The sequence below is a fragment of the Homo sapiens genome, chromosome 8 (genome assembly GCF_000001405.40).
Source record: "Homo sapiens chromosome 8, GRCh38.p14 Primary Assembly".
NCBI classification, from domain to species: Eukaryota; Metazoa; Chordata; class Mammalia; order Primates; family Hominidae; genus Homo; species Homo sapiens.
In genome coordinates, this window is record NC_000008.11 from 81,890,612 (window position 1) to 81,904,278 (window position 13,667).

The 13,667-nt window shown below is 40.1% G+C and overlaps 1 long non-coding RNA gene across 8 annotated transcripts in view, besides 2 other annotated features; it reads left to right on the top strand.

Moving 5' to 3' along the window:
- LINC02235 (long intergenic non-protein coding RNA 2235) overlaps nucleotides 1-13,667 on the top strand; it is an 81,042-nt gene that overhangs the window by 47,993 nt on the left and 19,382 nt on the right. The gene's annotated exons all lie outside the window — the stretch shown is intronic.
- Nucleotides 4,870-5,644: an enhancer, noted in NCBI's record as "OCT4-NANOG hESC enhancer chr8:82807716-82808490 (GRCh37/hg19 assembly coordinates)". NCBI's record gives its function as "activates a minimal SCP1, AML or CMV promoter by ChIP-STARR-seq in naive H9 embryonic stem cells {active_cell/tissue: H9 hESC(naive)}" and the evidence as "EXISTENCE:reporter gene assay evidence [ECO:0000049][PMID:30033119]".
- Nucleotides 7,195-7,968: an enhancer, noted in NCBI's record as "NANOG-H3K27ac hESC enhancer chr8:82810041-82810814 (GRCh37/hg19 assembly coordinates)". NCBI's record gives its function as "activates a minimal SCP1, AML or CMV promoter by ChIP-STARR-seq in primed H9 embryonic stem cells {active_cell/tissue: H9 hESC(primed)}" and the evidence as "EXISTENCE:reporter gene assay evidence [ECO:0000049][PMID:30033119]".

Genomic DNA, 13,667 nt, shown 5'->3' on the forward strand with positions numbered 1-13,667 from the left:
AGAGGTGCACTCCCTCTAGAGGCTCTAGGGGGGATTCCACCCTTTGCCTCTGCCAGCTCCTGAATGTGCTACAGACATTTGCTTTAAATGTTTAGGGGATTATTAAAATAGACGAGCAATGAATAGCCTTCAGAATAAATCTTGTTTTCCAGGCTCTGATGGCTGCTGGCATTCCTTGAGACTGGACATCACTCCAATCTCTGTCTCTGTGGTCACTTGGCCTTTTCTTCTGTGTGTAGTATCTATCTGATGCTCTCTTATACACACATATGATGGCATTTAGGCCCTATCCAGATAATTCAGGATAAATCTCACATCAAGATTCTCAATTTAATCACACCTGCAGACTTTACTATTCAAAGTAACATTCACAGGTGCCAGGGATTAGGAATTGCCATCTTTGTGGGTCATTATTCAGCATACTACACCTTCAAATTCCATTATTGCCATGTATGCCCTACTGTATGTCTTGTAAAATCTTCCTGAACCTCAGTAAGAACCTTAAACGTACAGATTCAAAACATTTTTTAAAATCACAAATTTTTTTCATTATAATGTCTTTAATTTTTTCTTTGTTACTTTTTCCCTGAAATTTCATGATTTATTTATTAGATATTTTAGATCTATTTTTTCCTTTTTCCTTATGATTAACTTCTCCATAAATTTTTTTTTCTTTTGAGATATGTTTTCCTCTGGATCTTTAAAGACACTAATTGGGTTATCAATAGTGGCCATTCTTTCAATTAAACTATTTAATTTTTTAAAGAAAAATATCTAGTAATTTTTGACTCACAGAAATCTCACGGTATTTAAATCATAGGTTCTTTATTTTTGGATGCTGTCTGATCTAGTAGTTTTGATGTTCTATTTGTTCTTTCTCTTCTTCTTTTTATGCTTATTGTTACTTTTTTTTTTTTTTTTTTTCTCTGTCTTGGGTGCATTGTGCTTTTATTCTTTTTCTTTACCATTGGGGCTTAGGTTTAGCTGCTGGGATATCTTAAAGTAGCCTCTGCTGCTATGGTCTTATTTCTTCACATCTAGTAATTTTTGATAGTGTACTAGATATTGTAAAACATATTTATAAAAGTATGATTTTTTTTCTTTAAAAGTTTGGATTTTGAGCTGGCAGGCAGGAAATTTACTGGTGGATCATCATAATTCTTTGAAACCTGTTTTTAAGCTATATCAACTTTATTAAAGGTCTAGGGTAGATCTTCTTCTATAGCTAGAGTAGTTCTGCTTCTAAGCTATGGCCTTTGTAAGAAGTCTCAACTGAGCGCCTGGGGTTTTTAGCAAGATCTTTCCATGGTTGCTGGTCAGAATTTCTATTTCTTCAACCAATTTGAAACCACAAAGATATACATTTTATTTCACAAATACCTAGCAGTTGTTCTCTACCATCTTCCTGAGTCTCACCATGTGCATGCACAGCTTTAGAATTTAGCCAATGTAGTAAGAGGACCCCTATATAGATTTGTGAGGTCTTTGTCTTCATGGCTTCCTTGTCTGCAGTAGCCAGTTCCACATACTTCAGCCTTCTTAGCAACTTTAAACATTGATTTTTGCTTCCTCAGCTCAATGATACTGCTGTGCTCTGCTTAACTTGCCTCCCTGCATTATAGTCTGGAAAGATTTCCCCTGTAGAAATTCAGGCCAATTATGGGGCTTACTTTGTGTGTTTCCTCTTTCTCAGGGATCAGAGTTTTGTGCTGCCTTTTGACTAATGTCTGACAATATCGCTATGTGTGTTGTCCAATTTTACAGTCATTTACCATGGGAGGAATAGTCTGGTACCAGTTACTTTATTATGTTTATAATCAGACATTTTCCTGCTGCCAATTTAATATATTCACTTGAATATTTTAAAGGCATTTCAAATGCAACATGACCAAGAAAAAAAAATTAATGGTCCTCTTTTCCCAAATCTGGTTCAGTTATACAAGTTGGAAACTTAGAAATCATCTTTGATGTCTCCTTCTTTCTCATCTTCCACATCTGGTGAATCATCAAGATACCTAAGTATCTCTTGAATTTATACTTCTCTCCATCTCCACCACTCACCTGTTAGATGAAGCATCATGTTGAAATAGCTTCCCAACTGATTTATTTAATAGTTAACTCTTGACTCCTCTATCAGTTTATCTTCTCATTGCAGCCTGGCTGATCTTGTTTAAAAGTCAACTGGGTCATGTTTTTCTCTTCTCCACATCTTGGTTTGAATCCTTCAATGGCTTTCCATTGGTCATAGAATGTGGGCAAAACTCCTTAACATGGCCTTGTAATCTCTGCATGATCTGTTCTCTACCTACTAGACAGCTTTGTTAAAGATCTCATTTACCTTACTCTCTTCACTTCATTCCATGAGATTTTGCTCATGCTATTTTCTTAGGAATGGTTTTCTTTCATCTATTTAGTTAATTTTCTCTCACCTTTTAGGACTCAGTCTTATTATTTATCTCTTCTTTACAGAAAATTCCTGACTAGGTCAAATTCCTAAATTAATATGTTCAAATTCATATATATCAATTGAAATTTCACATTTGTGTGACTTCTTTAATGTCTTATCCTCTGCTACAGTAAATACTATAAAAGCAGTTTCATTAATATTTTTTGCCCATACTTAGCAGAATGTCTGAAATAGAAGTGATAAAGTAATATTGCTTGAATAAGAAAATTTGCTCAAAATCAAGAAGATGGTAACTGTAGGTACATCACTGCCCATACCTGTTATCATATGAGAATTGCAGGCATAGTTTCCATTAGAAACATAAAGTTCATATTTATATCAGTGTCAGAAATGTCACAATACCAATTTCTATATTGGATGGCAGCTCTCTTTTAAGTAAATTCTGCTTATTATCAAATCATAAATAAATATTTAGAAGTTTCTTGCTGTTTTCAGAATTTAAATACTAAAATCCCAAAAGCAGGTATAAAAAGTATTTTTAACATCATACAAGTGTTAAATTTACACATAAAATGAACAACATCTAAAGTTACATTTAGTAGCAGTATACCATGATTCTATCATATTTATGTTAACTTATGCTGGTTTGCTTGTATGCCAGACACTATTTGAAGTGCTTTGAAAGTATTAACTCATTTAACTATTAAAGCAACATTATGAAGAAGGTATTATAATTATTATTTCCACTCTATAGATGAAGAAACAGAGGTACAGATACATTAAATAATTTTCTAATGTTCAACAACAGAATCAAGATAAAAACCCAGAATTGTTGGCTTTAGAGAGTTTAATAATTTTTAGATTCTTTTTGCGTGGCTTCTGGATTCTAGCCAGTTTCTTGAAAGTCACAGTAACTGTACAATGAAAGTTTGGCCCATTTATACGACAGAGTTTTATTATACCTAGTCTTTGAAAATCCATATGTCCTACATCTCAGTAAAGGAGGTGAGACAAGTGAATATGTATGTGGAGATAGAGATAGGTACATTGTTAACATTCTATGTGGTATATTTTTCTTACCTCATGCTTCCCTTGAAGAAAAATAGTGTTAACTCTGAAATATTTGTGGGGGTTGTAAAATGGGCAGAATTTAAGGATTTCAATGTGATCTATTAGATTGAATGAGAGCAGCCAGAAAATTAGTTAAATGTACTCAATTTGGTAAATGATCTGTCATAGGACTCAATTTAAAAAATCCTTTTAAGCAGAATTTAGGTTTTGTGGATTTGGCAAGGTATCAAATCTTATGAAATATTTGGAGGTCTTAATTCAGCAGTGGACTCAAAATAGATTCTCCTTAATGAGAGTTAAAAGATAAACGGCAAAAATCGAAATACAGCTTGCTGTAATGTTTCATGAAATTGCCAGATTGCCAGATGATACTTAATTGGAAGCTCAGAAAATAATGATGAGCAACCTAATCAGAAAAAATGTTTTTGGTCTAAATTCCTGAAGAAGGAGATTGCACACACAGTAGACCATAAACTGGAGACATCTAAAAATGAGTTTGTGAAAAACTAAACACTAGTCCCTCTAAACAAAAACAGGCATACAAACAAAAAATAGAAACCAGCTGTTTACATTAACGTATCACTACATTTTTTGAGAAGGAAAGAATTTACTCAGACTGAAAAATGAAAAGTAGCTCTGAATGCTTCTGTGCAATAGTGTGTCTCTGTACTTAGCAGCGACTGCTAAAAGTCTTTCATCGAAGTATATAATACATTTGCTCCATTTAAGAATTACAGCTTGGCATGCAATGTGTCCAATTTTGTCATTACTTGAGGGAGAAGAAAAAGTGTGATCAGTATACTAGAAATCTTGTTCTGGAAATTCAGAGTTGCATTGCTTTTCTTGTAATTAGCATCTTAACCTCTGGGTATATTTTATTAGAGAGACAAGAAAAATTCCAGGGATCCTGTAGAGTTGTACCATGTAATACAAGCGGCAATTTAAATTCAAATTTAAATAATTAAAGTTAAATAAAAGTAGAAATTTAATTCCTCAGTTGCATTGGCCACATTTTAATTGCTCAGTAGCTTCTTGTAGCTAGTTGCTACAGTATTGAACAGAACAAATATATAGAATATTGGACAGCACAGATACTAAACATTCCCCCATCATCTTAGAAAGTTACATTGCACAGTGCTACTTCTGAGTACTTATATTTGGTCATCTCAGTTCTGTTTTCTTATTTTTATTTTTATTTATTTTTTAGAGATAGGGTCTTGCAATATTGTCCAGGCTGGTCTTAAACACCTGGTCTCAAGTGATCCTTCCACTTCAGCCTCCCAAATTTCTGGTATTACATGTGTGAACCATCATGCCTGACCTCAGTTCTGTTTTCAGTTTCCATGGTTTTATTCTATCTGTCTGAAGCTCATATTAATTTTCCATGTGGATATATTGTAGTGAAAATGTCTTTCCATTATTCATTTCTTAAAACTCAATCTCCTAATCTGTGGCTATTAAGACTTAATTTACAGGGTTTTTAATGAGCATTAAAGTGAAATAATATAAGAAAACTGACACATAGTAAATTTGCAATGAATACTAATTTGCATTCTTTATAATGTAATCTTTTTTTCAATGATAATAGATCATACTCCTTGGGGAATCTGGTGAAGGTTATGAGGACTAAGAGCTGATTTTTTTTTGTTTTACCCAAATTCCTATCTAAGGGGTCTGGGGAGTCATGCCCTACAAAACATAAATTCTTATCAGATGGGTTATATTTAACTCTATATATCATGACTTACTTTCCAACCTGACTTTGGCATAATATAATGAGACAAGAAAGAAAATTAAAAATTTTTATCCCAAAACATATTTCTTTGCGGTATCTCGAAATGGCCCTGCAAAGCTGTCCTTTGTGGGGGAAAATTTGCATCTGTAAAGAATCTGTTAACATAGCTAGATCTTTTTCTTCCAGGCCCTCCCAATCCTAAAGAGATTAACTAAAAGTCTAGCACCTCTTAAAGATCTGAATAGGAAACACCTGTCATCTATTGTCTCTAAGGGCAGCCATTGTAAGACTTCAAAAGAACCTTGATCGCCACAATCTTTCATCTTAACCTCAACATTTCCTTTCTACTGATCCCAGGTCTTTAGACTAACTCAGCTAATTATCAACTAGAAAATGTTTAAATTTACCTATAGCCTGGAAGCCTCCCCCTACCCCCAACCCCGTTTTCAGTTGACCCACCTTTCTGGACCAAAACAATGTATTTCTTAAATGTATTTTGATTGATGTCTCATGCCTCTCTAAAATGTGTGAAATCAAGCTGTGCCCGACCACCTTGGGCTTATGTTCTCAGGACCTCGTGAGGGCTGTGTCATGGGCCATGGTCACTCATATTTGGCTCAGAATAAATCTTTTCAAATATTTTACACAGTTTGACTCTTTTTGTTAACAGTTATAGGAGAAATAGATATACTCTGAGTTTAGAGAAAGCCTGTTTCGACTTCTGCATGACTTTCATCTAATATTCTTATCTTCTTATTTTTTATGCTCCTTCTATGTTATCCTGTCATAGTACTTCTTAGGGAGTGTACTGTTCCTGGTCTCTATGCCATTTTCAGGCATGGCTTCTGTATTTATCCATTTACCATCAAAATTGGGCAAGGGAATAACAAGTGACATTAAGTGGCTCACTTATGTGTCAAATATGTTTCTCCCTGCCTCTGTTGTATATTGGTAGCTTTATCTCCTCCTGATGATCAAATTCAATTACCTCTACCAACCAGGTGATTTTTCTTTTCTGCTGCTCCCTTGTTATGTGAAGTCCAAAGTGCTAGACTGACAGCCATAGATTAAGGTTCACGGGGACTCTTGCTGTTTCCCCTAGTAGAAGCATTCTTTCTTTGGTAGTCAGGACTTCTCAACCTGCAGAGCCCAGCACTGTGAGGCAGGAAACAAAAATTCCCCATGTGGTGTTTCACAGGGAGTGATATAAGTGAGATGATCTTTTCTTCCATCTCTTGGTTTTCAGACCCATGCATTTATGTCTTGAGGACACAGCCATTATCTATGTATATGTGTGTATGTGTATATGTGTGTGTATGTGCATTTGCATTCTGGAGGACAGTGGCCCATTCTTATAGGGTATTGTCTCTGAGCTGGTGCCTTAGCCATACCTTCTTGAGTAGGCTTTTCTTTGCTTTAGCAGGCTGGCAGATTCTGGGTAATTCTGTATGTGAGAGGACCATGGAATCTCAAGCTCATGTGTCTACTGCTGTGCTTCCATTGGTCTGATGTGACTTTGTGTGGGATTCCATGTTGACAGAGCAAATACTCTTTAAACATTTGGATAATAATATAGTCTAAGGCTCTATAGAAAGGAATGGCAGCTGGGCACAGTGGCTTATGCCTGTAATCCCAGCACTTTGGGAGGCCAAGGCAGGCGGATCACCTGAAGCCAGGAGTTTAAGACCAGTCTGACCAACATGCCAAAACCCTGTCTCTACTAAAAATGCCAAAATTAGCCAGGCATGGTGGCATGTGCCTGTAATCTCAGCTACTCAGGAGGCTGAGGTAAGAGAATTGCTTGAACCCAGGAGGTGGAGGTTGCAGTGAGCCAAGATTGTGCCACTACACTCCAGCCTGGGCAACAGAGTGAGACTCTGTCTCAAAAAAAAAAAAAAAAAAAAAAAGAAAAGAAAAGAAAAAGAAATTGCAACTTATATCTTAATATGTTTATAGCAGGCAAAATAAATCATTACTCTTCCAGGGTAGAAGGTGTCAACTTGCCACCAAGTATCTCCTTGATGTCCTTGAAATCCTCCTTCTTTTACCCTTAGTCTTTATGCTATTTAATCATCTTCAGCTACTTTAAAATCATATTTTCTAAAGCATGGTCTCCAGCAGCAGCCATCTGATTCCATTGTCATTATAATTTTACTATTTTCCCAACATTTCTCAAACTGTAGATGAATTCTGTCATGCACGTCCTTGTGAAGAGACCACCAAACAGGCTTTGTGTGAGCAACAAGGCTGTTTATTTCATCTGGGTGCAGGTGGGTTGAGTCTGAAAAGAGAGTCAGCAAAGGGAGATGGGGTGGGGCCGTTTTATAGGATTTGGGTTAGGTAGCGGAAAATTACAGTCAAAGAGGGTTGTTCTCTGGCGGGCAGGGGCGGGGGGTCACAAGGTGCTCAGTGGGGGAGCTTTTGAGCCAGGATAAGCTAGGAGAAGGAATTTCACAAGGTAATGTTATCAGTTAAGGCAGGAACCTGCCATTTTCACTTCCTTTTGTGATTCTTTGGTTACTTCAGGCCATCTGGATGTATACGTGCCGGCTTGGGCTCAGAGGCCTGACATTCCTGTCTTCTTATATTAATAAGAAAAATAAAATAAAATAGTGTTGAAGTGTTAGGGCAGTGAAAATTTTGGGGGGTGGTATAGAGAGATAATGGGTGATGTTTCTCAAGGCTGCTTTGAGTGGGATTGGGGTGGCGTGGGAACCTAGAGTGGGAGAGATTAAGCTGAAGGAAGATTTTGTGGTAGGGGGTGATATTGTGGGGATGTTAGAAAAAACATTTGTCGTATAGAATGATTGGTGATGGCCTGGATATGGTTTTGTAAGAATTGAGAAACTAAACGGAAGACACAGGTCCAAATAAGAGACGTAGAAAAACAGGTATTAAAGGACTAAGAATTGGGAGGACCCAGGACATCCAATTAGAGAGTGCCCAAGGGGGTTCAGCATAATTACTTGGTTGGCGAGTTTTTTGGGCTCTATCCTTGAGTTTTTTTATGTTGTCATATACCAGGCCAGATTGATTTAGTTTTGTAAAAACACTCTTCATTTTAAAATATACAGAGTTCTCTTTTTTCAGCAGTAAGTCAAGGCCTCGGCAATTTTGGAGGAAAGAGAAATGCAAAGCCAGCAATTGTTTGTTAAAGAAGGATTAGAAACGGCTAGGAGGGAGTGAGTGAAATTGATAGTGTGGTGGAGATAGCTGGGGAGAGGTAGAAGGTGGCATAAGAACAGGAATGAGAGTAAGAGTGAATGTAAAAGTAAAGAATAGGACCTCATCAGGGTGAAAGTATTGGAGTGTACCTTGCCACTGAAGATCTTCTATCCACTTTGAGAGACTTAAGGGTGGCAGTTTGAGGTAAAACCAGGAGATATCAGTTATGATGGTTTGGAGGAAAAGTGTAAACCAGCAGTGTAAACAAGGGCAGGGCATTTATGAGTAGTTGAGAATAGTGAATAGGAGTATGACTAGACAGAAGATAGTAGGGATGAAGGCCAGTCCGTTATTAGACTGTATAGAGGTGGGAAGGCCAAACTGAGGAATTATGTTTGACAGAAGGGAAGAAATGACCATGGTGGCCTTCTCAGACCCTGTGGGAAAGACCTCTACCCATCCAGTGAAAGTGTCTACCCAGACCAAGAGGTATTTTAGTTTTCTGACTCAGGGCATGTGAGTAAAGTCAATTTGCCAGTCCTTGGCAGGGGCAAATCCCCAAGCTTGATGTGTAGCGAAGGGAGGGGGCCTGAGAAATTCCTGAGGAATAGTAGAATAGCAGATGGAACACTGAGAAGTGATTTTCTTGAGGATAGATTTCCACAATGGAAAGGAAATGAGAGGTTCTAAGAGGCGGGCTAGAGGCTTGTAACGTACAAGGAAGAGGTTATGAAATGACAGAATAGAATGGGCCTGTGAGGCTGGAAGGAGATATTTTCCTTGGTCCAAGAGCCATTTGCCTTGTGTGGGAAGAGATTGATAGGTGGAAGTTTCATCTGAGAGAGTAGGTGGGAGTGACTGATGAGAAGGAGAAAAACTGGCCGTGAGGGACAGAGGTTGGGATGCTAGCTGCTTCTTTTAGCTGCCTTATCAGCATAAGCGCTGCCCTGAGTGATGAGATCTGATGCCTTTTAATGGCCCTTGCAGTGAATGACTGCAGCTTCCTTTGGAAGTAAAGTGGCCTTGAGAAGAGTTTTTATTAAAGAGGCATAGTGAGGAAACCTTTTTTCTGCCCAAATAACAGCATGGTGGTACAGGATATGAAAGGCATATTTAGAGTCAGTATAAATATTGATGTGTAGTCTCTTTTGCAAGAGTAAGGGCCTGAGTTAAGGCAATGAGTTCGGCTTGCTGAGAGGTAGTGGAGTGGGGCAGAGCAGTAGCCTCAAGGATAGATGTTGAAGATACTATAGCATAGCCTGCCTTTGCTGGTGAATGGCAGTTAGGCCTGGTGGAAATGCCATCAATAAACCAAGTGTGATCAGGGTAAGGAACAGGAAAGAAGGATATATGGGGAAATTGAGTGAATGCCAGGTGGATTAGAGAGATACAGTCATGGGGGTCAGGTGTGGTATCAGGAATAATGTGGGGGCCAGCCTAAAACAGTAAGGTCAAGTTGTTTGGACAGAAAGACTATAGGGTGTGGTACTGGCTCTTGTGTAAGAATTTTGACTGCACAGCCCTGTACTTTGGCTGTGTGTAATGAAAAGTGTTGGGATGAGTTAGGGAGAGCTAGTGTGGGAACAGCTTCTAGGGCTGTTTTTAACGAATGGAAAGAGGAGTGGTGAAAGGATTTAGGATCTATGGGGTCAGTTAGGTTTGCTTTTGTGAGTTTATTTAATGGTTTAGTCAGGATGGTAAAACTAGGTATCCAAAGGTGGAAGTACCTAACCATGACTAGGAAGGAAAGGAGTTGTTGTTTTGTAGAAGGGGTTGGGGTTTGGGAGATTAGCTGGACATGATCAGCAGGGAGAGCACATGTGTTTTCATGAAGATTTATGCTGAGATAGGTAATGGATGAGGAAGAAATTTGGGCTTGACTGAAGTAATGGGGGCTGTCAGTGAAGCCTTGCGGCAGTACAGCATAGGTAAGTTGCTGAGGCTGATGGGTGTCAGGATCAGTCTAAGTGAAAGCGAAGAGAGGCTGTGATGAAGGGTGCAAAGGAATAGTAAAGAAAGCATGTTTGAGATCCAGAACAGAATAATGGGTTGTGGAGGGGTTGTGGAGGGAGGTATTGAGGATAGGAGAGTATATGGGTTCGGCACCATGGGGTGGATAAGCAAAATAATTTGGTTGATAAGGCACAGATCCTGAACTAACTTGTAAGACTTCTTCGGTTTTTGGACAGGTAAAATGGGGGACTTGTAAGGAGAGTTTATGGGATTTAAAAGGCTATGCTGTAACAGGCAAGTGATAACAGGCTTTAATCCTTTTAAAGCGTGCTGTGGGATGGGATATTGGCGTTGAGTGGGGTAAGGGTGATTAGGTTTTAGTGGGATAGTAATGGGCATGTGATCGGTTGCCAGGGAGGGAGTAGAGATGTCCCATACCTGTGGATTAAGGCGGGTAGATACAAGGGGAGGATGCAAAGGAGACTTTGAACTGGGGGAATGGGTGACAATGAGGTGTGGCTATAGCCCAGGAATAGTCAGGGAAGCAGATAATTTAGTTAAAATGTCTCAGCCTAATAAGGGAACTGGGCACGTGGGGATAACTAAAAAGAAGTGAATAAAAGTATTGTCCAAGTTGGCACCACAGTTGGGGAGTTTTAAGAGGTTTAGAACCCTGGCCATCAATACCCACAACAGTTATGGAGGCAAGGGAAACACACCCTTGAAAAGAAGGTTATGTGGAGTGGGTAGCCTCTGTATAGATTAAGAAGACAATGGACTTACTTTCCACTGTAAGAGTTACCCAAGGCATCTGTGATGGTCCAGGAGGCTTCCGAGGCAATTGGGCAGCGTCAATCTTCAGCTGCTAAGCTGAGAAGATTTGGGAAGGAGTCAGTCAGAGAGCCTTGGGCCAGAGTTCCAGGGACTCTGGGAGTGGCTGCCAGGTGAGTTGGACAGTCCCATTTCCAGTGGGGTCCCACACAGATGGGACATGGCTTAGGAGGAATCCTGGGCTGCAGGCATTCCTTGGCCCAGTGGCCAGATTTCTGGCACTTGAAGCAAGATCCTGGGGGAGGAGGTCCTGAAGGAAGGCCTGACCACTGTGGCTTAGGCGTTTTGAAGTTCTTATGTGCTGGAGATGTGGCTGGGGTTTCTCTCACAGCAGAGGCAAGTAATTGCAACTCTTCTCTGTTATTGTACACCTTGAAGGCAAGGTTAATTAAGTCCTGTTGTGGGGTTTGAGGGCCAGAATCTAATTTTTGAGCTTTATTTAATGTTGGGAGCAGATTGGGTAATAAAATGCATAATGAGAATAAGCCTTCTGACCCTTCAAGGTCTAGGGCTGTAAAGCGTTTCAGGGTTGCCACCAAATGAGCCATGAACTGGGCTGGGTTTTCATATTTGATGAAAAAGAGCCTAAACCCTAACTGATTTGGGAGAGGTCGGATAAAGAAAAAGGAGCATTAACCTTGGCTATGCCTTCAGCTCCAGCCACCTCTTTAAGAGGAGATTGTTGGGCAGGTTGGGGAGGGCTAGTTGCTGAAGGAAACTGTAAGCCAAATTGGGTATGAGAAGGGGAGGTGATAAAAGGATAATACGGTGGGGGAGTGGAGGCTGAGGAAGAATTCGGACCTGGCTGGACCTGATGAGGAGCAGCCTGGGGAGGAGAGGAGAGGTCAGATGGGTTTGTAGAAAAGAAGGATTCAAAGGACTCAGAGCTTGGGGTGGAAACTGAAGGAACAGACAGGAGAGAAAGAAGAAAGATTTGGGATGAGTTGCATGGGGAGCAGAGACTAGGGAGGGACCAATGTGTAAAAGAATGACTGGACATCAGGCACTTCAGACCCATGTGCCCATTTTTTGACAAAAATCATCCAGGTCTTGTAAAATGGAGAAATCAAAAGTGCCATTTTCTGGCTATTTAGAACCATTTCTTTCTAAATGGTTTGTATTGGGGCCAAGTGGTGTTGCAGAAGAAAATAAGACACTTAGGTTTTAGGTCAAGCAAGAGTTGAAGAGGTTTTAAGTTTTTGAGAACAAAGGCTAAGGGAGAAGAAGGGGGAATGGAGGGTAGAAGGTTGCCCATAGTGAAGGAGGCAAGCCCAGAGAAAAGAGAGGGTAGAAACACAGAGAAGGGGGGTGGTGAGTAGCCAAAGCAGGCGTCCCCGCAATTGACTTGCCACCAAGGGAATGTGGGTGAATGACCAAGGCAGGCATCCCCACAGTGATCAGACACCAATGGAGTGTGGCTGAATAATCAGGCAGGCATCCATGCAGTGATTAAACACTAAGGGAAGACTGTCTTCCCAAGTCCGTGACCAGTGCCGGAGTTTTGGGTCCACGGATAAAATGTGTCTCCTTTGTCTCTACTAGGGAGGAAAAAGAACTGAATTGGAAGGACAGGGAGATTGAAGGGTAGCGAGAGAAGGAGATTGAAGGGTAGCAAGAGAGGCTGGAGAAGAGAGTGAAAAGACTGCTTACCTGATTTGAAATTGGTGAGATGTTCCTTGGGCTGTTTGGTCTGAGGACCTGAGGTCGTAGGCGGATCTCCTCATGGAGTGAGGGTGAGGACAGGGGCTGGTCTCCCAAAGGAGTCCTCCTGTTCCGGGTCTTTGGCACCAAATATCACGCACGTCCGTGTGAAGAGATCACCAAACAGGCTTTGTGTGAGCAACAAGGCTGTTTATTTCATCTGGGTGCAGGTGGGCTGAGTCAGAAAAGAGAGTCAGTGAAGGGAGATAGGGGTGGGGCCATTTTATAGGATTTGGGTAGGTAGTAGAAAATTACAGTCAAAGAGGGTTGTTCTCTGGCGGGCAGGGGCGGGGGTCACAAGGTGCTCAGTGGGAGAGCTTTCGAACCAGGATAAGCCATGAAAAGGAATTTCACAAGGTAGTGTTATCAGTTAAGGCAGGAACCATCCATTTTCACTTCTTTTGTGTTTCTTCAGTTACTTCAGGCCATCTGGATGTATAGGTGCAGGCTTGGGCTCAGAGGCCTGACAAATTCCATATGCTTGTGTAATTCCTTCCATTTGTATGTTATCCCAATTTACCACCAGTCAGAGGTTAATATTTATGCTGCTATGCTGTTACTTTGTGTTGGGCACTGTACATATTCCCAACATTCTTAGAAAATCGTTCCTCATTGCCAGCCAACCTGCAGCTGATTAAGTTCCAGAATTTAGTGATTGTTGTAGCTTGGATACCCTGGGAGGCCAATTCTGAGACTGAGATTAACATGAAGGAAGTTTACCTAGGGAGCTGATACGGTTTGGATCTATGTCCCTACCCAAATCTCATGTTGAATTATAATCCTCAATGTTGGAGGTGGGGCCTT